The sequence below is a fragment of the Homo sapiens genome, chromosome 14 (assembly GCF_000001405.40).
Source record: "Homo sapiens chromosome 14, GRCh38.p14 Primary Assembly".
Classification (NCBI taxonomy): Eukaryota; Metazoa; Chordata; class Mammalia; order Primates; family Hominidae; genus Homo; species Homo sapiens.
In genome coordinates, this window is record NC_000014.9 from 31,650,073 (window position 1) to 31,676,171 (window position 26,099).

Below are 26,099 nucleotides of genomic sequence, written 5' to 3' on the forward strand. Positions count from 1 at the left end.
GGTCACAAACTCCCGACCTCAGGTGATCTGCCTGCCTCAGCCTCCCAAGATTCACTTTTTCAGGGATAATCATGTTGTCAAAAATATTAGCCATGTATACAGAGAAAGTTGATAAGACATGAATTAGTTTGTATTGATATAAGTTCAAGTAATTGCATATGTGTGTAAAGATAGAGCCTAACTAAATAAGCTTCTTTTGGGAATGGCTTTCTTTCTTTTTTTTTTTTTTTTTTTTGAGACGGAGTCTTGCTGTGTCACCCAGGCTGCAGTGCAGTGGCACAGTCTCAGCTCACTGCAAGCTCCGCCTCCCAGGTTCACACCATTCTCCTGCCTCAGCCTCCGAGGTAGCTGGGACTACAGGCGCCCGCCACCACACCCGGCTAATTTTTTGTATTTTTAGTAGAGACAGGGTTTCACAGTGTTAGCCAGGATGGTCTCAATCTCCTGACCTCATGATCCACCCATGTCGGCCTCCCAAAGTGTTGGGATTACAGGCGTTAGTCACCGCACCTGGCCCCAGGAATGGCTTTCATTGAAAAAATACTGTCTCCATACTTAATGTCTATTAGCTACTTCTTTGAAGGAGAAATGTAATTAAAATGCCTGTGTTTAAAAGCGGCTTTAAATTATTAACACTGTCTTAGTCCATTTAAGTTGCTATAGAAGAATTCCTGAGGCTGGGTAATATATAAAGAAAAAAGGTGTATTTGGCTCATGATTTTTCTGGCTGGAAGATTGGGCATCTAGTGAAAGCCTTAGGCTGCTTCTACTCATGGTAAAGGAAGGGAAACTAGTATATGCAGAGATCACAACGTGAGGGTGGAATCAAGGAGGGCAGCAAGGTGCCAGGCTCTTTTTTAACAACCAGCACACATAGGAACTAATAGAGATAGAGCTTACTCATTACCATGAGGATAGCACCAAGCCATTCATGAGGGATCTGTCGCACAACCCAGACACCTCTCATTAATCCCTGCCTCTAATGATGGAGATCACATTTCAACATGAGATTTGGAGAGGCCAGTATCTAAACTATAGCAGATACTGTTCCACGTCTTTGGATTTTTTTTTGTTTTTTGAGACAGAGTCTTGCTATGTTGCCCATGCTGGAGTGCAGTGGCAGGATCTCAGCTCACTGCAACCTCTGCCGCCTGGGTTCAAGCAATTCTTGTGCCTCAGCCAACTGAGTAGCTGGGATTAAGGCTGGTCTCAAATTCCTGGCCTCTAGTGATCCACACTTCTTGGCCTCCCAAGGTGCTGGCATTACAGGAGTGAGCCACCACACCCTGCCCAGATCTTTGGATATTTTTTGAAATGTGAAATTACTTCTCAAATTTTATCTTAGGTTTTTTAGCATGAATCACATTTTTTTTAAGGATGGGTTATCTCAGGTATTGTGTAATACACATTTAAAGTTTCTTTCTTTTGTAACCTATGGAATGGTAGATGGTATTTTTAAACCACACATCTGATAAAGGGTTAATATCCAAAATATTTAAGAAACTTAATAGCAAGAAAACAAATAACTGTATTGAAAAATGTGTGGCCGGGCGTGGTGGCTCACGCCTGTAATCCCAGCACTTTTGGAGGCTGAGGCAGGTGGATCACAAGGTCAGGAGATCGAGACAATCCTGGCTAACATGGTGAAACCCCATCTCTACTAAAAATACAAAAAAATTAGCCAGGTGTGGTGGTGGGTGCCTATAGTCCCAGCTACTCAGGAGGCTGAGGTAGGAGAATGGCATGAACCTGGGAGGCAGAGCTTACAGTGAGCTGAGATAGTGCCACTGCACTCCAGCCTGGGCAACAGAGCGAGACTCTGTCTCAAAAAAAAAAAAAAAGAAAAAAAGAAAAATCTGCAAAGGATCTGAATAGACATTTCTCAAAAGAAGACATGCAAATGACCCATAGGTGCATGAAAAAATGCTCAACATCACTAAGTGTCCATCAATGAATGAATGGATAAAGAAAATGTGGTTGAATGAATGGATAAAGAAAATGTGATATATATACAGAATATATCATATATATACTACTCAGCCTCATAAAAGAAAGAAATTCTGTCATTTGCAACTATATGAGTAAAGCTGGAAGACATTAAGCTTAATGAAATAGCCAGGCATAGAAAGACAAATATCATGTGATCTCACTTATGTGCGGAATCTAAAAAAAGTGGAACTCAGAGAATTAGAGAGTTGAATGGTGGTTACCAGGGGTTCCAAATGGGAGAATGGGGAGATATTGGCCAAAGGACACAAAGTTTCAGTTAGGTAGGAGAAATAAGTTGAGGAGAGCCATTGTACAGCGTGGGGACTGTAGTTAAAATACTAATGCATTGTGCACTTGAAAATTGCTAAGAGAGTACATTTTAAGTGTTCTCACCACAAAAAATTGACAAGCTTATATTAATAAGCTTGATTGAATCACTCCATAGTATATACATATATGAGAACATTGCTTTGTATACCATAAATATATATAAATTTTGTCAATTAAAAATGATTAAAAAATAAAGTTGCTTTTTCTTTAAATGATGGCATTTATATAAAGTAATAACATTTCTAATATGTGTGCCCTGATTTTAAAGACATCAATATATAAAAACCAAAATTTATAAAACCATCAAGTTTGTGAGTTGCGTTTTTAAATTATGGAGAGGTTTTCCTTTGTACCAAAGACCCTGTGACAAGGCCAAATCCTATAATTTCCTTCATAGCACTAGTTTTGGTTACAAATTTACATTTATCTAGTGATTGTGTATCGGGGGAACTCACCCCCCATATTTTAACATAGGTTCTTTCTATTTTCCCTACGTGTCAGCCGGTCTGAGAAATAAAGAGAAAGAGTAAAAAAAGAGGAATTTTACAGCTGGGCCTCTGGGGGTGACATCACGTATCAGTAGGACTGTGATGCCCACCTGAGCCGCAAAACCAGCAGGTTTTTATCAAGGACTTCAAAAGGGAAGGGGGTGTACGAACGGGAAGTGGGTCACAAAGATTACATACTTCAAAGGGCAAAAAGAGAACAAAGATCACATGCTTCTGAGGAAACAGGGCAAGGACAAAAGCAAAGATCACAAGGCAAAGGGCAAAATTAGAATTACTGATGAGGTTCTATGGTCAGCTGTGCACGTATTGTCTTGATAAACATCTTAAACAACAGAAAACAGGCTTTGAGAGCAGAGAACTGTTCTGACCTTAAATTCACCAGGGTGGGGTTTTTCCCCACTCTAGTGAGCCTGAGAGTACTGCAGGAGACCAGGGCGTACTTTGGTCCTTATCTCAACTGCATAAGACAGACACTCCCAGAGCAGCCGTTTATAGACCTCCCCCGAGGAATGCAATTCTTTTCCTAGGGTCTTAATATTATATTCCTTGCTAGGAAAAGAATTTAGCGATATCTCTCCTACTTGCAGGTCTGTTTATAGGCTGTCTGCAAGAAGAAAAATATGGCTGTATTCTGCCCGACCCCGCAGGCAGTCAGACCTTATGGTTGTCTTTCCTTGTTCCCTGAAAATCGCTGTTATTCTGTTCTTTTTCAAGATGCACTGATTTCGTATTGTTCAAACGCACATGTTTTACAGTCAATTTGTACAATAGTGGTCCTGAGGTGACGTACATCCTCAGCTTATGAAGATAACAGGATTAAGAGATTAAAGTAAGACAGGCATAAGAAATTATAAGAGCATTATTTGGGAACTGATAAATGTCCAGGAAATCTTCACAATTTATGTTCAGAGGCTGAAGTAAAGACAGGCATAAGATATTATAAGAGTATTATTAGGGAAGTGATAAATGTCCATGAAATCTTCACAATTTGTGTTCCTCTGCTGCGGCTCCAGCTGGTTCCTCTGTTCAGGGTCCCTGACTTCCCACAACAATTGTGTGGTTAGTATCTGTCTCTCCTATTGACTTTGTATTTCATGGGGGAAGATATTATGTCTGTTTTTCTTTGCTACTATAGCACTAACACCAAACTTCATACTTGGTACATACAGGTATATCTCAGAGATGTTGCAGGTCTTGTTCCAGACCACCACAATAAAGCAAGTGTCTCAATAAAGTAAGCAACATGAATTTTTTGGTTTCCCATTGCATATAAAAGTTATGTTTACACTATACTGTAGTCCATGAAGTGTGAAATAGCATTATGTCTAAAAATATGTATGTACCTTAATTAAAAATATTTTATTACTTAAAAATGCTAATGATCATTAGCCTTCAGTGAATGGTAATCTTTTTGCCTTTGGATGGTGTTGCCTGCATGTGAATTGCTGCTGACTGATCAGGGTGGTAGTTGCTGAATGTTGGGTTGGGTATGGCAATTAACTTTTTTTTTTCTTTTTTTTTTTTTTGAGACAGAGTCTCGCTCTGTTGCCCAGGCTGGAGTGCAGTGGCATGATCTCAGCTCACTGCAAGCTCCGCCTCCTGGGTTCATGCCATTCTCCTGCCTCAGCCTCCAGAGTAGCTGGGACTGCAGGCACCCGCCACCACACCTGGCTAATTTTTTCTATTTTTTAGTAGACATGGGGTTTCACAGTGTTAGCCAGGATGGTCTCAATCTCCTGACCTCATGATCTACCCACCTCGGCCTCCCAAAGTGCTGGGATTACAGGTGTGAGCCACTGTGCCTGCCCCGGCTATGGCAATTTCTTCAGACAAAAATGATGTTTGTCACATTGATTGACTCTTCTTTTCATGAATGATTTGTCTATAGCATGTAATGCTGTTTGATAGCAGTTACCCACAGTAGAACTTCTTTCAAAATTGGAGTCAATTCTCTCAAGCCCTGTCACTGCTTTATCAATTAAGTTTATATAACATTCTAAACTTTTTGTTGTCATTTCAACAAAGTTCACAGCATCTTCACAGAGTAGATTCCATCTCAAGAAAGTACTTTCTTTGCTTATCATAAAAAGCAACTCCTTATCTGTTTGTTTTACCATGAGATTGCAGCAATTAAGTCCCATCTTCAGGCTCCATTTCTAATTCTAGTCTCAGTGTCATCCATGAGGGTTGGAATCAACTTCTTCCTAACTCCTGTTCATTTTGATACTTTGATCCCCTCCAATGAATCATGAATGTTCTTAATGACATCTAGAATAATGAATCCTTTCCAGGAGATTTTCAATTGATAGATCCGTTAGAGGAATTACTATCTATGGCAGCTTTAGCCTTATGAAGTGTATTTCTGTAATAATAAGACTTGAAAGTCAAAATTACTTCTTGATCCACAGGCTGCAGAATGGATGTTTTGTTAGCAGGCATGAAGACAACATTCATCTGATTGCACATCTCCATCAGAGCTCTTGGGTGTCCAGGTGCATTGTCAATGAGCAGTAATATTTTGAAAGGAATTGGCCGGGCATGGTGGCTCACACCTGTAATCCTAGCACTTTGGGAGGCTGATGCGGGTGGATTGCCTGAGTTCAGGAGTTTGAGACCAGCCTGGGCAACATGGCAAAACCCCGTCTCTACTGAAAATACAAAAATTAGCAAGGCATGGCAGAGAGCATCTGTAGTCTCAGCTACTTTGGGTGCTGAGGCAGGAGGATCACTTGAACCCAGGAGGTTGAGGCTGCAGTGAGCCGAGATGGTACCACTGCACTCTAGCCTGGGTGACAAAAAGGTTTCAACAGTGGGCTTAAAATATTAGTAAGCCATGCTGTGCTGTCAGCCAGGCTTTATTTTTCCATTTATAGAGCACAGGCAGAGTAGATTTAGCATAATTTTTGAGAGCCCTTGTATTTTCAAAATGGTCAGTGAATATTGGATTCAACTTAAAGTTACCAGCTGCATTAGCCCCTATTAAGAGAGTAAACCTATTATTTGAAGCCAAGCATTAACTTTTTTCCCCTAGCTGTGAAAGTCCTGGTATCTTCTTCCATTTCATCTACATTGAAGATCTGTTGTTTAGCTACTTCCTTCCATTATCTTAGCTAGATCTTCTGGATAACTTGCTACACCTTCTACATCAGCACTTGCTTCTTCACCTTGTACTTTTATGTTATAGAGATGGCTTTTTTTTTCTTAAACCTCATGAACCAATATCTGCTACCTTCCAACTTTTCTTCTGTATCTTCCTCACCTCTCTCAGCTTTAATAGAATTGAAGAGAGTTAGGGCCATATTCTAGATTACATTCTGGGTTAAGAGAATGTTGTGGCTGGTTTGATCTTCTATCCAGACCAATAAAGCTTTCTCTGTCTCAGTGATAGGGCTGTTTTGCTTTCTTTTTATTTATGTGTTCATGGGAGTAGCACTTTTAGTTTCTTACAAGAACTTTTCCTTTGCATTCACAACTTGGCTGTTTGGTTCAAGAGGCCTAGCTCTTGGCCTATCTTGGTTTTTGACACAATTTCCTTACCAAGCATAATCATGTGTATCTTTTCATTTAAAGTGAGAAACATATAACTTTTTATTTCACTTAAACACTTAGAAGCCATGATAGCATTATTAATTGGCCTGATTTCAATATTGTTGTCTGAAGGAATAGGGAGGCCTGAGGAGAGAGAGAGAGAGATAGGGGGATGGGCTGGTCAGTCGAGCAGTCAGAACACACACACAACATATATTGAATAGGTTTGCATCTTATGTGGGTGCAGTTCATGGTGCCCCACAACAATTACAGTAGTAACATCAAATATCACCATGATAGACATACTAATAATAAAAAAGTGTGAAATATTGTCAGAATTGCCAAAATGTGACATATAGAAATGAAGTGAGCACATGCTATTGGAAAAATGGCACCAATAGACTTGCTCAATGTAGGGTTGCACAAACCTTTGATTTGTAAAAAATGCAGTAACTGCAAAGTACAATAAGGCAAAGCAAAATAAAACAAAAGTATGCCTGTAGAAGGCACTCAATAAATATGTTGAATGAGTGAGTGAGGAGAAAGAATTGTCTTATGTAGTAAGCCTTTAAAATCAAATTCCTTTTTAAAGAAATGTAATTTTTATGCAGTCTTTTTTAGCGGTACAGCTATTATATAAATTGATAATTGCCTAAATATTAAATGGCACAGAATGAAATCTTTAATGTAGTCACTGTTCTAGAAATACTTCAAATGTAGCCAGTAACCAAAATCACCAGACCCCCAACATCCAAAGTTTTATTACCTGTGTGGGCAGCCTCCAATTTAATGTGGTATGGCAGTCATTGATGACTGTGCTTTTTATTACTTCTTTACTATGATTTCTTATCTATATACTCTGATATATGGGCCATTCATATAAGCTTTCAAATCTCTAGTGTAACTAAATGGGTAATATAGTAAGGCTTTTATTATCTAAACAATGTTTATTGAAAAGAGTTTGCCTCTAAGTATTTGTAAGTATATTATCTTTCAAAACAAATTCGGTTTATATAAGTCTTATAGCCACAATGTTATAAAGGCCACACCGAAGCCAGTGTCTTGTCTTTGGCTGTACCTCTATTTATTTTCTATTTTTGTCCTTCATTGGGTCTTTTTATGCAGGCAGTCATAATTTGGTCTTTTTAAAATGTTTAATACAGGTTAAAGCCTTAAACAGGTTTTTTCTTGCTTCATAATATACACATGAACAGGCATTTTGGTCACTATAACAAGTGTAATTTTGTGTTTAGCCCTTGTTATAGATATCTTTTTCTTATCTCAGTATGTCATTCATATTTTTCTAACTTGCTGCTCAACACTCTTCTTTTTTACTACTCATGGGTATGTATTGCTAGTGAGTTTTAAATTCCAGCTCTTGAATTCCTTGTACTTGTAGCTTACTATTGCTACTTAAAAATGCTACTTCAAAAACTTGAGAATTTGCTACTTCAAAAACTTGAGAATTTTAGAAGTCAGAACTAATAGAAGAAAAAGAGTCTTATACATCATATGAATTTGATAAGGCTGGAAATGTCCCCTATAAACAGAAAGATTGAGAATAACAGAAATCTACCTAAAAGATATGTCAGAACAAACAAAAAAATTCAACTACTGTTTAAAAGATGATTCATATTAATTACAGAGTAACTTGATATATCAGAACACTGTTAAATCATTCCAGGGAAATTGTCTGGGCATCTTCAAGCAATAGAAAGAAACCTGTTTTCATATTAGCTAACCTTTCAACTGTGTGTTATCTATTAATCTCATGTATGTTGGAGTAACTGTAAACCTCCTGCTTCTTGGATATGTATGTGAAAAGAATATGGCACTTAATGAAGAAACAGGCCTTAACTGAAATACTTAATGTTTCTGTTGCTAGCTTTTTAACTTTGGGCAGGTTAGTTTAATATTCTGATCTTCGGCTATTCCATATGCAGTATGTCATATAAAGACTTCATTTGCCATATGAAGACAGTTTGCCCAAGGTCACAGATAGTGACTAATTTATGATAATAAATAATATTTCACTGCACTAAAAATGGCTGATGATCAAATATAGGTTATGGAAGTTTTCTTTAATAGCTTTTTTTTTTTTTGAAAGGGAGTCTCACTCTGTCACCCAGGCTGGAGTGCAGTGACGTGATTTCAGCTCACTGCAGCCTCCACCTTCTGGGTTCAAGTGATTCTCCCACCTCAGCCTCCTGAGTAGCTGGGACTTCAGGCACGCGCTACCATGCCGGCTAATCTTTGTATTTTTAGTAGGGACGGGGTTTCACCATGTTGGCCAGGATGGTCTTAAACTCCTGACCTCAAGTGATCCACCTGCCTCGGCCTCCCAAAGTGCTGGGATTACAGGTGTGCGCCACTGTGCCTCCTTTAATAGCTATTTACTGTGGACTCTTTAGCTGTTTACAGAATTGTTTTGGACATTATATGAACATGTTTATGAGCACTTACTTTACTAATCAAGGGGAATATAGTATTTAGATGGTGAGGCAGGATAAAGGCATAAAAAGATAAATAATCATAGAGGATAACATTTATTAAGTGTCAGATGCTAAAGGAGATTAGAAGAGGGAATAGTTATGGAGAGCTGTTTTGGAGGCTGCCATGGAAGAAAGGGATTACATAAGCTGAGAGAAGGCTGAGGATAACCTTGACTTTCCCCAACTGTAAAATGGAGATATTACTTGCCCCATAAGGCTGTTGTAAGGATTCAGTGAAATAAAATATCTAAAGTGTCTAAAATAAATGTAGTGCTTTGTGACTATGTGATGTAACTGCTACTACTGGTTTTTGTTTTTTGGACTGAATATAAGTGGTTCTTTCTGTCATCTTTAAAATTTTTCTCTCCCAGATGCCTGACAACTTGGAGATGACATATAGTTTTCATCTTAAATACCAACTGACTACCTGGGACATAATGTTGAAAAGATTCTCAGACTCTACCTGGTTTTAGTAGGGAAGAATGCTATGATCAATTACTGGTGACAAGGCACATATAAAATAGGCTGGAGGCAGGAAATGGTTGTGTATGGGTTGCTGGAGTAACAGTATGTAAACTGTGTTTATTATCTTTACTTTAAGTCCTAGTATGTCTTATTTGTTTCTAGCCTTCCTTTTACTACATCCTGTAAAACTTTCTAATATAAGATGGCAAGTTTTAGAAGTGAGATACCAAGTTTATATCTGTACTCAGTGAATTAGCCCCGGAGTAGAAAAGAATCTGATGTATCACCCCTGCTCCAAAATATCCCTTATGCATTCTTTCCCATTTATATTCTAGTGAGCTAATAGTTTCTGTTTAAAAAATACTTAGATTTTCTGAAAAGCTGAAGTTCTCAATGTGATCTACTTGAGCCAGATGATTTTCCTAATGCAGTCTGTCCACATGAGAAAATGAGAGTTTTGATTGTGGAAAGGATGAATTGGAAAAGAGGGGCATTTTTTTAAAACTGAAAAATAGATTGGATTAAAGGAAAGATATGCCTGAATGGCTTTCAGCTTTTAGATGGTAGGATGCCTGAGATGGGCATAGTAGGGTTCCAAGATGGTACAAAAGAGAAAAGTATGCTGAAGATAAATGGAATTTTAATATTAAGAGTAATAGAAGCCATAACATTACAAAAACATGATTTTCTTCATAGTCTTATTTTCTGCTCCTTTCTCAAATTTTCTGCTTCCTCCCTCATTTCCACTTTTAGATACAGCATTATTTTATTGCCTTTTGGTTGTCCAGGTTGATGGCTCAAGTTTTGAGTTTTGACCCATTCCACTTTCTAGTCTTTACTTACCTTCTCTCTTTAAACCCCTCTTCTTTTCTTCTAGGTAAATAGGTAGAGCATTGTAAACCTCTCGTGGTACTAGTATTTTCTGGTGGAACCACTTTGTCTCACACAGCCACCTAAAGTTCTTCTGAGAGAACAATTATGCATGTGACTCCTTTTCTTGCGTCTGATTTCTCATTAGAAAGGACCTTGGTTTCAGAAAGGAAGGACTAGAGAAGTAGCTGGTGAGAAGTGAAATTGTAAAATTTGTACTGGATGCCCTTTCCTTTCTGAACATTCTTGTATCTTTGCATGTCTTTTCTTCAAGATACGAATACAGGTTTATTTTTTATAAAACTTTAAAAATAAATATTTTTTCTTTTACTTTACCCTGTGTTTGAATATTATTTAAAATTTATAAAATGAGGTTGTATATTCTTGATTATACTCTCTGTCCCCATTTTAAGAAATGGATTTAATGCTTCTAGTTAAATGATTTCAAGTGATAATGTTGTTTTAGACATATATTCCTGAACCATGGTGTTCAGCTACATTTCAAACTCTTTATTTTTGGAGCCAGGGAACAGAGTAGAAAGTACAAAGGTTTCTAAGGCTTATTGCTAATACCAAGTACATGGTGACATCTACTACATAGTTGATTCACGAACAATGGAATTCCTATAAAAAGAAGATCTGATTCTAGATCAGAGTTATCCCTGGAACATGTAAAGATGTCAACTTTAATAGGAAGATGTAAAGCAGCTGTTCTTGTGCCTATTTCCTTTTTACCTAGCTCTTTAGTTTGATGTGGTCACAGTGGCATTTATTCTAGTTTAACAATTAATTTATAATATAAAAGCAGTCCCTAGATTTGTTTGAAACCAACTGGTTACATACAAAAGATTAATTAAATTCACACCTATTAGAAAAGATAGAACTTTGTTGTAATAGAGTGAGAAGGATGCAGCATTGTGGCAACTGAAATAGTTTGACTTACAGTAAGAATCTTTTATGCTTCAGTGCATGAGCTCTCATGAAAATATGAGGAGGTAGGAAATAATGATCTGTATCATGATAAGTTCAGCTAATAATGGCCTCTTCAAAAAGCTATTATTCACAGGGCAGTGGATTCCAAAGTTTCTTTGTTAACTTTCACTTGTTAGTACGTTGTAAGTTTTTCTATTAAGTTTATGTGGAGGAGTTGCTGTACACATTTTTAAAAAATAAAATTCTAAGGCAAAGAAACTTATTTGTACCTGTAATCATGAGTTGTTGTGTAGAGTCTTTCTTAATTAACTAAAAAATATGGCTTCAGACTATGCCAACATTTCATTTCTGGTAATTTTTTGTTTTTCTCCGAGACGGAGTCTCGCACTGTCACCCAGGCTGGAGTGCAGTGGTGTGATCTTGGCTCACGGCAACCTCTGCCTCCTGGGTTCACACCACTCTCCTGCCTCACCTCCCGAGTAGCTGGGACTATAGGCGCTCACCACCACACCCAGCTAATTTTTTGTATTTTTAGTAGAGACGGGGTTTCACCATGTTGGCCAGGATGGTCTCAATCTCCTGACCTCGTGATCCACCTGCCTTGGCCTCTCAAAGTGCTGGGATTACAGGCGTGAGCCACTGCACCTGGCCCATTTCTGGTAATTTTTATAATTAAAGCAAAATGCTTTTAGGCAATTTTAATTTTGTTTACTGATACATAAGAAAAGATAACTATTTTAGTTGCCTCAATGCTGCATCCTTCTCACTTTATTACAACAAAGTTCTATCTTTTCTAATATCTTTGCTTATGACATTCTTTTTAATGTATATGCTATACATTTTTATTTCAATGTGCTTTTTTCTTTGTTAAATTTTCCGTATCATCCTTCTGCAGGGGCCATGCTAATCTTCTGTATCATTCCAATTTCAGTTTAGGTGCTGCCAAAGTGAGTACCTGTTAAATTTTAAAGAAACACATTTAACATGGTGATGAATCTGCTCACATTTCTGAGCTTTCAATTTATAATTTATCATATATTAACTATAGGAATTAAAATATGCATTAAAATTATTAATTTTTAATATTTATATTTATTTTATTTTATTTTACTTTATTTTATTTTATTATACTTTAAGTTCTGAGATACACGTGCAGAATGTGCAGATTTGTTACATACATATACAAGTGCCATGGCGGTTTGCTGCATCTGTCAACGTGTCATCTAGGCTTTTAAGCCCCACATGCTTTAGGTTATCTATCCTAATGTTATCCCTTCCCTCTGCCCCCCACCCACCGACAGGCCCTGGTATGTGATGTTTCCCTCCCTGTGTCCATCTGTTCTCATTGTTCAACTACCACTTATGATTGAGAACATGCGGTGTTTGGTGTTTTTGTTCCTGTGTTAGTTTGCTGAGAATGATGGTTTCCAGCTTTATCCATGTCCCTACAAAGGACATGAACTCATCCTTTTTATGGCTGCATAGTATTCTGTGGTGTATATTCTTTATCCAGTCCATCATTGATGGGCATTTGGGTTGGTTCCAAGTCTTTGCTATTGTCAATAGTGCTGCAATAAATATCCATGTGCATGTGTCTTTATAGTAGAATGATTTATAATCCTTTGGGTATATACCCAGTAATGGGATTGCTGGATCAAATGGTACACCAACAGTGTAAAAACATTTCTATGTCTCCACATCCTCTTCAGCATCTGCTGTTTCCTGACTTTTTAATGATCGCCATTCTAACTCACATGAGATGCTATCTCATTGTGGTTTTGATTTGCATTTCTTTAATGACCAGTGATGATGAGCATTTTTTCATATATTTGTTGGCTACATAAATATCTTCTTTTGAGAAGTGTCTGTTCATATCCTTCACCCACTTTTTGATGGGGTTGTTTTTTTCTTGTAAATTTGTTTAAGTTCCTTGTACATTCTGTTTATTAGACCTTTGTCAGATGGATAGATTGCAAAAATTTTCTACCATTCTGTAGGTTGCCTGTTCACTCTGATGATAGTTTTCTTTTGCTGTGTAGAAGCTCTTTAGTTTAATTAGATCCCATTTGTCAATTTTGGCTTTGGTTGCCATTGCTTTTGGTGTTTTAGTCATGAAGTCTTTGCCCATGCCTATGTCCTGAATGGTATTGCCTAGGTTTTTTCTAGGGCTTTTATGGTTTTAGGTCTTATATTTAAGTCTTCAATCCATCTTGAGTTAATTTTTGTATAAGGTGTAAGGAAGGGGTCTAGTTTCAGTTTTATGCATATGGCTAGCCAGTTTTCCCAACACTGTTTATTAAATAGGGAATCCTTTTCCTATTGCCTGTTTGTGTCAGGTTTGTCAAGGGTCAGATGGTCGTAGATGTGTGGTGTTATTTCTCAGGCCTCTGTTCTGTTCCATTGGTCCATATATCTGTTTTGGTACCAGTATCGTGCTGTTTTGGTTACTGTAGCCTTGTAGTATAGTTTGAAGTCAGGTAGCATGATGCCTCCAGCTTTGTTCTTTTTGCTTAGGATTGTCTTGGCTATGCAGGCTCTTTTTTTGTTCCATATGAAATATAAAGTAGTTTTTTCTAATTCTATGAAGAAAGTCAATGGTAGCTTGATGGGAATAGCATTCAATCTATAAATTACTTTGGGCAGTATGGCCATTTTCACAATATTGAATGTTCCTATCCATGAACACAGAATATTTTTCCATTTGTTTGTGTCCTCTCATTTCCTTGAACAGTGGTTTGTAGTTCTCCTTGAAGAGGTCCTTCACGTCCCTTGTAAGTTGTATTCCTGGGTATTTTATGTTCTTTATAGCAATTATGAATGGGAGTTCACTCATGATTTGGCTCTCTGTTTGTCTGTTATTGGTGTATAGGAATGCTTGTGATTTTTGCACATTAATTTTATATCCTGAGACTTTCCTGAAGTTGCTTATCAGCTTAAGGAGTTTTTGGACTCAGACAATGGGGGTTTTTTAAATAAACAATCATGTCATCTGCAGAGACAATTTGACTTCCTCTCTTCCTATTTGAATACACTTTATTTCTTTCTCTTGCTTGATTGCCGTGGCCAGAACTTCCAATACTGTGTTGAGTAGGAGTGGTGAGAGAGGGCATCCTTGTCTTGTGCTGGTTTTCAAAGGGAATGCTTCCAGCTTTTGCCCATTCAGTGTGATATTGGCTATGGATTTGTCATAAATCGCTTTTATTATTTTGAGATACGTTCCATCAATACCTAGTTTATTGAGTGATTTTAGCATAAAGGGCTGTTGAATTTTGTTGAAGGTCTTTTCTGCATCTATTGAGATAATCATGTGGTTTTTGTCATTGGTTCTGTTTATGTGATGGCTTACGTTTATTGATTTGTGTATGTTGAACCAGCCTTGCATCCCAGGGATGAAGCCAACTTGATCGTGGTGGATAAGCTTTTCGATGTGCTGCTGGATTTGGTGTGACAGCATTTTATTGAGGATTTTCACATCGATGTTCATCAGGGATGTAGGCCTAAAATTTCCTCTTTTTTTGTTGTGTCTTTGCCAGGTTTTGGTACCAGGCTGATGCTGGCCTCATAAAATGAATTAGGGAGGAGTCCCTCTTTTCTGTTGTTTGTAATAGTTTCAGAAGGAATGGTAGCAGCTCCTCTTTGTACCTCTGGTAGAGTTCGTCTGTGAATCTGTCTGGTCCTGGGCTTTTTTGGTTGTTAGGCTATTAATTACTGCCTTAATTTCAGAACTTGTTATTGGTCTATTCAGGTATTAGTTTAGTCTTGGGAGGGTGTATGTGTCCGGGAATTTATGCATTTCTTCTAGATTTTCTAGTTGATTTGCGTAGAGGTGTTTATAGTATTCTCTGATGGTATTCTGTATTTCTGTGGGTTCAGTGGTGATATCCCTTTCATCATTTTTCATTGTGTCTATTTGATTCCTCTCTCTTTTCTTCTTTATTAGTCTGCCTAGTGGTCTACCCATTTTGTTAATCTTTTCAAAAAAACCAGCTCCTGGATTCATTGATTTTTTGAAGGGTTTTTCGTGTCTATCTCTTTCAGTTCTTCTCTGATCTTAGTTATTTCTTGTCTTCTGCTAGCTTTTGAATTTGTTTGCTCTTGCTTCTCTAGTTCTTTTAATTGTGATGTTAAGGTGTCTATTTTAGATCTTTCCAGCTTTCTGATGTGGGCATTTAGTGCTATAAATTTCCCTCTAAACACTGCTTTAGTTGTGTCCCAGAGATTCTGGTACATTGTATCTTTGAACTCATTGGTTTCAAAGAACTGATTTATTTCTGTCTTAATTTCATTATTTACCCAGTAGTAGTCATTCAGGAGCAGGTTTTTCAGTTTCCACGTAGTTGTGCAGTTTTGATTGAGTTTCTTAATCCTGAGTTCTAACTTGATTGCACCATGGTGTGAGAGAGAGACTGTTTGTTATGATTTCCATTATTTTGCATTTGGCAAGGAGTGTTTTACTGCCAATTATGTGGTCAGTTTTAGAATAAGTGTGATGTGGTGCTAAGAAGAATGTGTATTCTCTTGATTTGGGGTGGAGAGTTCTGTAGATGTCTATTAGGTCTGTTTGGTCCAGAGCTGAGTTCAAGTCCTGAATCTCCTTGTTAATTTTCTGTCTTGTTGATCTGTCTAGTATTGACAGTGGGGTGTTAAAGTCTCCCACTATTACTGTGGGGGAGTCTAAGTCTCTTTGTAGGTCTCTAAGAACTAGCTTTGTGAATCCGGGTGCTCCTGTATTGGGTGCATATATATTTAAGATAATGCTTCTTGTTGCATTGATCCATTTACTATTATGTAATGCTCTTATTTGTCTTTTTTGATCTTTGTTGGTTTAAAGTCTGTTTTATCAGAGACTAGGATTGTACCCTGGTTTTTTTTTCTTTCCATTTGCCTGGTAAATATTCCTCCATCCCTTTATTTTGAGCCTATGTGTGTCTTTGCATGAGATGGGTCTCCTGAATACAGTACACTGATGGGTCTTGACTCTTTATCCAATTTGCCAGTCTGTGTCTTTTAATTGGGGCATTTAGCCCATTTATATTTAAGATATATATATATATATATATATATATATATATATAATTTTATTTTATTTTTTTTGAGACGGAATCTCCCTTTGTCTCCCAGGCTGGAGTGCAGTGGTGCAATCTCAGCTCACTGCAACCTCCGCCTCCCGGGTTCAAACAATTCTTCTGCTACAGCCTCCTGAGTAGCTGGGACTGCAGGTATGCACCACCATGCCTGGCTAATTTTTATATTCTTAGTAGAGACAGGGTTTGACCATATTGGTCAGGCTGGTCTCAAACTCATGACCTTGTGATCTGCTCGCCTCGGCCTCCCAAAGTGCTGGGATTACAGGCATGAGCCACCGTGCCCGGCCAAGGTTAATATTGTTATGTGTGAATTTGATCATAATGCTAGCTGGTTATTTTTCACATTAGTTGATGCGGTTTCTTCATAGTGTCATTGGTCTTTATATTTTGGTATGTTTTTGCAGTGGCTGGTACTGGTTTTTCCTTTCCATATTTAGTGCTTCCTTCAGGAGCTCTTGTACAGCAGGCCTGGTGGTGACAGAATCCCTCAGCTTTTGCTTGTCTCTAAAGGTTTTTATTTCTCCTTCACTTATGAAGCTTAGTTTGGCCGTATATGAAATTCTGGGTTGAAAATTCTTTTCTTTAAGAATGTTGAATGTTGGCCCCTACTCTCTTCTGGCTTGTAGGGTTTCTGTAGAGAGATCTACTGTTAGTCTGATGGGCTTCCCTTTGTAGGTAATCTGACCTTTCTCTCTGGCTGCCCTTAATATTTTTTCCTTCATTTCAACCTTGGTGAATCTGATGATTATGTGTCTTGGGGTTACTCTTCTCGAGGATTATCTTAGTAGTGTTTGTATTTCCTGAATTTGAATGTTGGCCTGTCTTGCTAGATTGGGGAAGTTCTCCTGGATGATATCCTGAAGAGTGTTTTCCAGCTCGGTTACATTCTCCTCATCACTTTCAGGTACACCAATCAATCGTAGGTTTGGTCTTTTCACATAGTCCCATATTTCTTGGAGGCTTTGTCCTTTCCTTATCATTCTTTTTTCTGTAATCTTGTCTTCAAGCTTTATTTCATTAAGTTGATCTTCAATCTCTGATATCCTTTCTTCCGCTTGATCAATTCGACTATTGATACTTGTGTATGCTTCATGAAGTTCTCGTGCTGTGTTTTTCAGCACCATCAGGTCATTTATCTTCTTCTCTAAACTGGTTATTCTAGTTAGCCCTTCCTGTAACCTTTTATCAAGGTTCTTAGCTTCCTTCCATTGGGTTAGAACATGCTCCTTTAGCTCAAAGGAGTTTGTTATTATTACCCACCTTCTGCCTACTTCTGTCAATTCGTCATACTCTTCTCTGTTCAGTTTTGTGCACTTGTTGGAGAGGAGTTGTGATTACTTGGAGGAGAAGAGGCATTCTGGTTTTTGGAATTTTCTGCATTTTTGCGCTGGGTTTTCCTCATCTTTGTGGATTTATCTACCTTTGATCTTTGATGCTGATGACCTTTGGATAGGTTTTTTGCATGGGCGTGCTTTTTGTTAATGTTGATGTTATTGCTTTCTGTTTGTTAGTTTTCCTTCTAACAGTCAGGCTCCTCTTCTGCAGGTCTGCTGGAGTTTGCTGGAGGTCCACTCCAGACCCTGTTTGCCTGGGTATCACCAGCAGAGGCTGCAGAACAGCAAAGATTGCTGCCTGTTCCTTCCTCTGGAAGCTTCGTCCTAGAGGGGCACCCACCAGATGCCAGCTGGAGCTGTCCTGTATGAGGTGTCTGTCAACTCCTGCTGGGAGGTGTCTCCCAGTCACGAGGCACAGGTGTCAGGGACCCACTTGAGGAGGCAGTCTGTCTCTTAGCAGAGCTTGAATGCAGTGCTAGGATAGGAGATCCCCTGCTCTCTTCAGAGTCGGCAGGCAGGAATGTTTAAGTCAGCTGAAGCTGCATCCACAGCTGCGCCTTCCTCCAGGTGCTCTGTCCCAGGGAGATGGGGGTTTTATCTTTACGTCCCTGACTGGGGCTGCTGCCTTTCTTTCAGAGATTCCCTGCCCAGTGAGGAGGAATCTAGAGAGGCAGTCTGCCCATAGCTGCTTTGCTGCACTGTGGTGGGTTTCACCCAGTCTGAACTTCCTGGTGGCTTCCTTAATACGGTGAGGGGAAAACCACCTACTCTAGCCTCAGTATTGGTTGACGCCCCTCTCCGTGCCAAGCTCTATTGTCCCAGGTTGACTTCAGACTGCCGTGCTGGCAGCAAGAATTTCAAGCCAGTGGATCTTAGCTTGCCGGGCTCTGTAGGGGTGGGACTCACTAAGACCACTTGGCTCCCTGGGTTCAGCCCCTTTTCAGGGGAGTGAACGGTTCTGTCACACTGGGGTTCCAGGTGCCATTGGGGTATGAAAAAACACTCCTGCAGCTAGCTCAGTGTCTGCCCAAGCAGCTGCCCAGTTTTGTGCTTGAAACCCAGGGCGCTGGTGGTGTAGGCACTTGAGGGAATCTCCTGGTCTGCAGGTTGCAAAAACCGTAGGAAAAGCCTAGTAGCTGAGCCGGATGGCACAGTCCCTCAGGGCTTCCCTTGGCTAAGGGAGGGAGGTCCCCAGCCCCTTGCACTTCCCAGATGAGGTGACACCCCACGCTGCTTCTGCCTACCCTCAGTGGGCTGCCCTTTCCCTCTAACCAGTTCCGGTGAGATGAACTGTGTATCTCAGTTGGAAATGCAGAAATATCCTGCCTTCTGCATTGGTCTCGCTGGGAGCTGCAGACCAGAACTGTTCCTATTTGCCCATCTTGCCCTGCTCCTTATTTATTAAATTTTAAAATGATTTTATTTATTTTATTTTTAGAGTTGGGGTCTCACTATGTTACTCAGGCTGGACTCAAACTCCTGGGCTCAATTGACTCTCGAACTTCAGCCTCCTGAGTAGCCAAGACTACAGGCATGCACCACTGTGCCTGGCTTTATTTTTATTTTTAATTGACACATAATTGCATATATTTATGGGACACAATTTGATGTGTCAGTATATGTATTGCATTGTATCATAATTAAATCAGGGTAATGAGCAGATTAATCACTTCAAACATTATTTCCTTGTTGTGGGAACATTTAAAATATTGTAAGCTATTTTGAGATACACAATACCTTATTGTTAATGCATGTAGTATTTGAATTTCTGTGTCTGGTTTATTTCACTTAATGTCCTCCAGGCTTATTTATGTTTGTGAAAATGACAGAATTTCCTTCCTTTTCTTTGCTTTTTTTTTTTTAAACTTTTATTTTATGTTTGTGAGTACATATGAAGGTTTGTTACTTAGCTAAACACATGTCACAGGGGTTTGTTGTACATATTTCATTTCCCAGATATTAAACCTAGTACTCAATAGTTATATTTTTTCCTCTCTTCCTCCTCCGATTTTCCCGTCAAGTAGACCCCACTGTCTGTTGTTTCCTTCTTTGTGTCCCTAAGTTCTTATCATTTAGTTCCCACTTGTAAGTGAGAACACGTGGTATTTGGGTTTCTGTTCCTGCATTAGTTTGCTAAGGATAATGGCCTCCAGCTCTATCCATCTTCCTGCAAAAGACATGATCTTGGTTTTTTTTTTTGTTTTTTTTTTTTTACGGCTGCCTAGTATTCCATGGTGTATATGTACCACATTTTCTTTAACCAGTCTGTCATTGATGGGTATTTAAGTTGATTTAATGTCTTTGGTATTGTGAATAGTGCTGCAGTGAACATTTGTGTGCATGTGTCTTTATGGTACAATGATTTATATTCCTCTGGGTATATGCCCAGTAATGGGATTGCTGGGTTGCATGGTAATTCTGTGTTTAGCTCTTTGAGGAATTGCCATATGCTTTCCAGAATGGTTGAGCTAATTTACACCTCCATCACCAGTGTGTAGGTGTTGCCTTTTCCCCGTAACATTGCCAACATCTGTTATTTTTTGATATTTTAATAATAGCCATTCTGACTGGTGTGAGTTGGTATCTCATTGTGGTCTTTATTTGCATTTCTCTCATGATCAGTGATATTGATCTTTTTTTCATATGTGTTTTGGCTGCATGTATGTCTTCTTTTGAGAAGTGTCTTTTCATGTCCTTTGCCCACTTTTAATGGGGTTGTTTTTCTCTTCTAAATTTAACTTCCTTATAGAGGCTTGATATCGGACCTTTGTCAGATGTATGGTTTACACATATTTTCTACCATTTTATAGGTTGTCTGTTTACTCTGTTGATAGTTCCTTTTGCTGTGCAGAATCTCTTAAGTTTAATTAGATCCCACTTGTCAATTTTTGCTTTTGTTGTGATTGCTTTTGCTTTCTTTGTCATGAAATCTTTGCCCATTCCTATGTCCAGGATGGTAATACCTAGGTTGTCTTCCAGGATTTTTATAGTTTTGGCTTTTACATTTAAGTCTTTAATCCATCTTGAGTTGATTTTTGTATATGGTGTAAGAAAGGGGTCCAGCTTCAATTTCTACTTATGACTAGCCAGTTATCCCAGCACCATTTATGGAATAGAGAATCCTTTCCCCATTGCTTGTTTTTGTCAGCTTTATTGAAGATCAGATGGTTGTAGTTGTGTGGCCTTATTTCTGGGCTCTTTATTCTGTTCCATTGGTCCATGTGCCTGTTTTTGTACCAGTACCATGCTGTTTTGGTTACGGTAGCCCTGTAGTGTAGTTTGAAGTTGGGTACCATGATTCCTCCAGCTTTGTTTTTCTTGCTTTGGATTACCTTGGCTGTTTGGGCTATTTTTTGGTTGCTTATGAATTTTAAAATAGTTTTTTCTAGTTCTGTGAAGAATGTCATTGGTAGATTGATAGGAATAGCATTGAATCTGTAAATTGCCTTGGGGAGTATAGCCATTTTAATGTTATTGATTCTTCCTATCCATGTGCATGGGATGTTTCTCCATTTATTTGTCTCATCTCTGTGTTCTTTGAGCAGTGTTTTGTAATTCTCATTGTAGAGATTTTTCACCTCCCTAGTTAGTTAGATTTCATTCTTTTTAATGGATGAATAGTATTCTATTGTGTCTATATACCAAATTTTCTTTATACGTTCATCTAATGTTGGACATTTAGGTTGATTTCATATCTTGACTATTGCGAATAGTGCTGCAGTAAACATAGGAGTGCAGATATCTCTTTGACATACTGATATCACATTAAGCAAATATTAGCAGACCAAATTCAGCATTCTATAAAACAACTGCATTATAATTAAATTGGGTTTAATCCAGGAAAGCAAGTTTGTTTCCAAATTAGGAAAAATCTCTTAGTGTAACTCACCGTTTTAGCAGATCAAAGGTGAAAAAGCATGTGATAGTTCAGATTCTTTAATCTGTATTCATATGGTAATTGAAGAAAATGGCCAAAAATATTGCCAACCGTGATAGCGAAAGGTTATAATTGGATGCTTTGGAAAGAATTGAGAAAATCACATAGAAGAAAAATAGTGCTTTCAAATTAGGTATGGGGAGATTGAGCTAGTTAGTTTAGCCAGAAATTAAAGAAGGAAACTATAAACATACACTCATTGAGTATTCCTTTAATGAAGGACCACGGCTTTTTCTTTGAGTAGGGATTCAATGAATGGAATATGGCAGAGGATTTCTTATATAATCCATGCATATATGCTTTACACAGTTTTCAGTCTCAGTCTCTTGACAAGAGGGGAAAAACCCTGAAGAACATATCTTGAAATCTGAAAACAGGATACTCCTAGGTTTTATGACTTTGTCCTAGACTTTTTGCCCAATACTTGTCCAAATCATATTTGTTATGGTAGAGAAGTAGGATATGAAAGCAAGAGTGAGTGGGAAGGTGATTGCATAGATAGTTTGATAAAACAAATTATATTTTATTGTAATCATTTGTTGACTATATAAAGGATTTTTTTACTTCACTATAAGCAATAGATTGCTTTTCTCTACAGATTAATGCAATTTTTCATCTCAGATTTCAAAATTGAGTTTTTCTACTTTTGTGGATTTTTATACTTTTTAAGCTAAGTAAAGGAACAAATAAGTAGTAACACTCCAGTGTAGGAAGGACTGATTAGATATGTGTGTGTGTGTGTGTGTGTGTGTGTGTGTGTGCATGCAAATATACACATACATGTATGCACATATTAGATTAGCATATATATAATTTATATGTTTATGTATCTTTGTATATGAATAAAATTGGACAAAATTAGTTATTGAGGCTATTTTTTAGAAACATTTTAAAATTGTAGTTGAGTTGTTTTATTGAGGTTATTTATTTTTTTTGAGACAGAGTCTTGTTCTGTCACCCAGCTGGAGTGCAGTGGCACAATGTGGGCTCACTGCAACGTCTGCCTCCCAGGTCCAAGCGATTCTTTCATGTTAGCCTCCTGAATAGCTGGGACTATAGGCGTGCACCACCATGCCCAGCTAATTTTTGTATTTTTAGTAGAGACAGCATTTTACCATGTTGGCCAGGCTGGTCTAGAACTCCTGACCTCAAGTAATCCACCCACCTTGGCCTCCCACTGTGCCTGGTATTGAGGCTGTTTTTTAGAAACATATTTAAAATTGTATTTGAAGTATTTCTTAATACAATTATGTCCCAACTATTTATCAATGTTGTGTCTATTGGAAATAGTATGCTTGGTATAATGTTTAAACTGTTGCAAATTGAGTTATATTTAGTTGAAAGTTAAATTGCACAATATGAGTAGCCTATTTGTATTTCCAGTTTGGTATTCTTTGATCCTGGAAGGATGGACGGGCAAAGGGGAGATGTTAGTCAAGTAGTGCGAAGTTTCAGTTAGACAGGGGGAATAAGTTCTAGTGATCTGTTGCGCAGCATGGTGACTATTGTTAACAATCATTTTTTGTATATTTCAACATTGTTAAAAGAGTAGACTTTAAATGTTTTTACTGCAAAGAAAGAATATGTGAGGTGATGTGGAATGCTAATTAGCATGGTTTATTATTTATTTACTTATTATTATTCTACTACAATGTAGACATGTATCATAACATTACGTTGTACCCCGTAAACATATGCAATTTTTGTTAATTAAAAAAATTTTTAAAAAGATGAAAAAAAAACCCAATTCAGAATGTTTATGTGTTGTGTTTTATTGTTCTAAAAGAGAGGATTTTTTTTTTTTCCAGGCAACCTAATGAGGCCTCTCTTGAATTATGGTATTGCTTGGTGAGCATATATATATTTTTAATGTTACTTTTCAGAATAATGTTGATTAATTTATACAAATTAGTTGTATTTTTATGTTACTGTTGCAGTATGTCTATGGGCTTTCTGGTTGAAGAAAGTGAACCAGTAGTTTGGAGAGGCCTTATGGTAATGTCGGCCATTGAGAAATTGTTGAGGCAGGTAAGAATATTGCTTTAAATATCATTTTATCATTGGCAAAGCTGTGGTTAATACATTTGCTGATTGGAGAATTGTTAAAATTTGCATTCAGGAATCAGTTGATGGGATGAATGTATAATGCGTAATATGGCACCTAATGAGTTAATGTGATGCCAAGACCAAACTTCACTGTTAACATGATTTAATCTTTCCCATTGCTTGTGAGTACTAAAAATTCTATTGTCTTACTTAATACTGTTTTCTTGCTTTGACTGTGTCTGCAGTAAGAAGACCAAATCAATTTTTATAAGTTATCTTCCTTCTTTAGATTTGTGATTAATCTCATTGTGGTCAATATTGAGTTATAAGGGCAGTGTAGAAATTCTACAGATGTAGAAAAAAATTATATAAACCAATGTACTTGTGATTTAAAATTGCTCCAGAAAAAAGTAAAATTTTGTTTTGAGTATATATGGTTATATATTTGCATGTGTAATATCTGTCCAATCAACTTTAATTTAGCCTTAAGAAAAGAAGAGAACATTTGATTGGATAATCTAAAAATATCAATTGGGCTATATGTTATTTATAGTTAGCTTGGAATAAGTTTTATTTTTTTCTCAGTAGATTTGAGTTTGTAATTGTCTTCTAGGTAAAAGTTAAAAGTAATTTGCATTTACTTCATCAACTTATAACAGTTACCTTTTATTTGTTCAGATTCTACTTTGGGTCAGGCACCATGCAATAGGTTGATAATTCTAATGGTAGATACTCCTATATTCATTTTCAGGTATACAATTAAGTAGATGAAATCTGTCTTGAACTCTGAAACTCTTCTTTTTTTCACTATAACATCTTGCCTTTCTACCACTTTTGCTGCTTGAATTGTGATAAATGTGCTGTTTGATTTTTGGTCCTAGTCATTTAAGTCTCTTGGTTTCATTTTCTCCTCTTTTACTGTCAGATCCCCTAGTTAGTGATTTCATTTAAAATCCCCAAACCACCCCATCCCCACCAATTCCTTTGTGACCTTGACCTTTATTTGTCTTGATTAACCCACCCTCTGTTTTCTGTACTTCTAAATACTATCAGAGAATATAGAATAGTTGTGTTAATTGCCTGCATTATATATTTTTGATTTTTGAATTTAGCTACCTTCACAACACTTCAGTCATCAGATTTTACATGTTGTTATTCTCAAAAAATATTCAGGGAATTTGGTAGTCTAGCAGAGGTCCAAATGAAGATTTGGCAAAAACAAGCTCTCTGACACATAAATTGTATAAAAGTTACAGTTTATTGGTTAGGTGTGGTGGCTCACGCCTGTAATCCCAGCACTTTGGGAGGCCGAGATGGGCGGATCACGAGGTCAGGAGATCGAGACCATCCTGGCTAACACGGTGAAACCCCATCTCTACTAAAAATACAAAAAAATTAGCCCTGCTTGGTGGCGGGTGCCTGTAGTCCCAGCTACTCGGGAGGCTGAGGCAGGAGAATGGCGTGAACCCGGGAGGCGGAGCTTGCAGTGAGCCGAGATCGTGCCACTGCACTCCAGCCTGGGTGACAGAGTAAGACTCCGTCTCAAAAAAAAAAAAAAAGTTACAGTTTATTTTGAGAAGTATGGTGGATACATTTTCAGCAAACATACTATAGAATATCAGGATAAAGATGGGGTAAGAAAATGGATTCATATTTTATTGGGATGCTTTGAGGTTACCTAGAGTATATCTATCTTACAGTCTTTCGTGAAGTCACTTTCATGTGTGCATTTTATTGGGAGCTGAAAAGCTGGTATTTTAGGCCTACACTGGGACTAATGCTGATCATCAGAGCTAAGGAGTGTTTTCACTTTTGTTTTGATTTAGAAACCAAACCATTATTTGGTAAATTTAACATCCTTAATGAAAATTCAGTAGCTAGATAGAACTTTTGTACCTGATTCATTGGCTCATTTTAAACAATTGAATATAACATATATACAGAAGAATGTACAAATCATGAGTATAATTAGATAAATTATCCCAAAGTTGAAACACCTATATAATCATCATTTAGAACAAGATAACTAGAACAAAACCAGTGATCCAGAACATCCTCTCATGTTCCCTCCTAGTACCCATTTATGGGGAGAAGAAAAATACTGTGGTCATTCTGATATCCTGAACTAGAAGTCTGGTTTAAAGTTGTTTTGTTTTTTTCTTTTTCTCCCTGACAATACTTTGTTGAGCTAAAATTATGCATACAATGAGATGCATAGATTTTCAGTATATAATTCAGTGATTTTTGATAAATATATATACCTATGTAATCATAACCCAATCAAACTAAATAGCATTTCCATCCTCCAAGAGAGTTTCCTTGGGTCCCCTTCTGTTTCATCCCATACCCATAGACAATCATTGTGATTTCTGTCACCGTAGTGAGTTTTACATGTTTTTAAATTTCAAATGAATAGGATTATACAGGATGTAGCTTTTTTTTTTTTTGAGACAGAGTTTAGCTCTTGTTGCCCAGTCTGGAGTGCAATAGTGCCATCTCAGCTCACTGCAACCTCCGCCTCCCAGGTTTAAGCAATTCTCCTGCCTCAGCCTTCTGAGTAGCTGGGACTACAAGGCATG

General features: G+C 37.8%; 1 protein-coding gene and 1 pseudogene across 12 annotated transcripts in view, besides 1 other annotated feature; one reads left to right on the plus strand and one right to left on the minus strand.

Annotated features, from left to right (window-relative positions):
- Positions 1–26,099, plus strand: part of NUBPL (NUBP iron-sulfur cluster assembly factor, mitochondrial) — a 299,821-nt gene that overhangs the window by 88,669 nt on the left and 185,053 nt on the right. For 9 of the 12 annotated variants that reach the window (NR_120408.2, XR_007064050.1, NM_025152.3 and 6 more), the window contains 2 exons: positions 23,283–23,322; positions 23,412–23,502. Coding sequence is in view for 10 of the 12 variants with exons in the window: in NM_025152.3 (NP_079428.2) it covers positions 23,283–23,322; positions 23,412–23,502 (131 nt within the window). In the remaining 2 variants the exon portion in view is untranslated. Of the gene's footprint in view, positions 1–3,997; positions 4,063–23,282; positions 23,323–23,411; positions 23,503–26,099 lie in introns of all 12 variants that reach the window. The other 3 variants (XM_047431787.1, XM_011537181.3, XM_047431786.1) reach the window with 2 other exon arrangements.
- Positions 3,138–3,338: a silencer, noted in NCBI's record as "peak2131 fragment used in MPRA reporter construct". NCBI's record gives its function as "represses an SCP1 promoter by STARR-seq MPRAs in K562 erythroleukemia cells {active_cell/tissue: K562}" and the evidence as "EXISTENCE:reporter gene assay evidence [ECO:0000049][PMID:32103011]".
- On the minus strand, positions 11,967–12,071 carry RNU6-602P (RNA, U6 small nuclear 602, pseudogene; annotated as a pseudogene).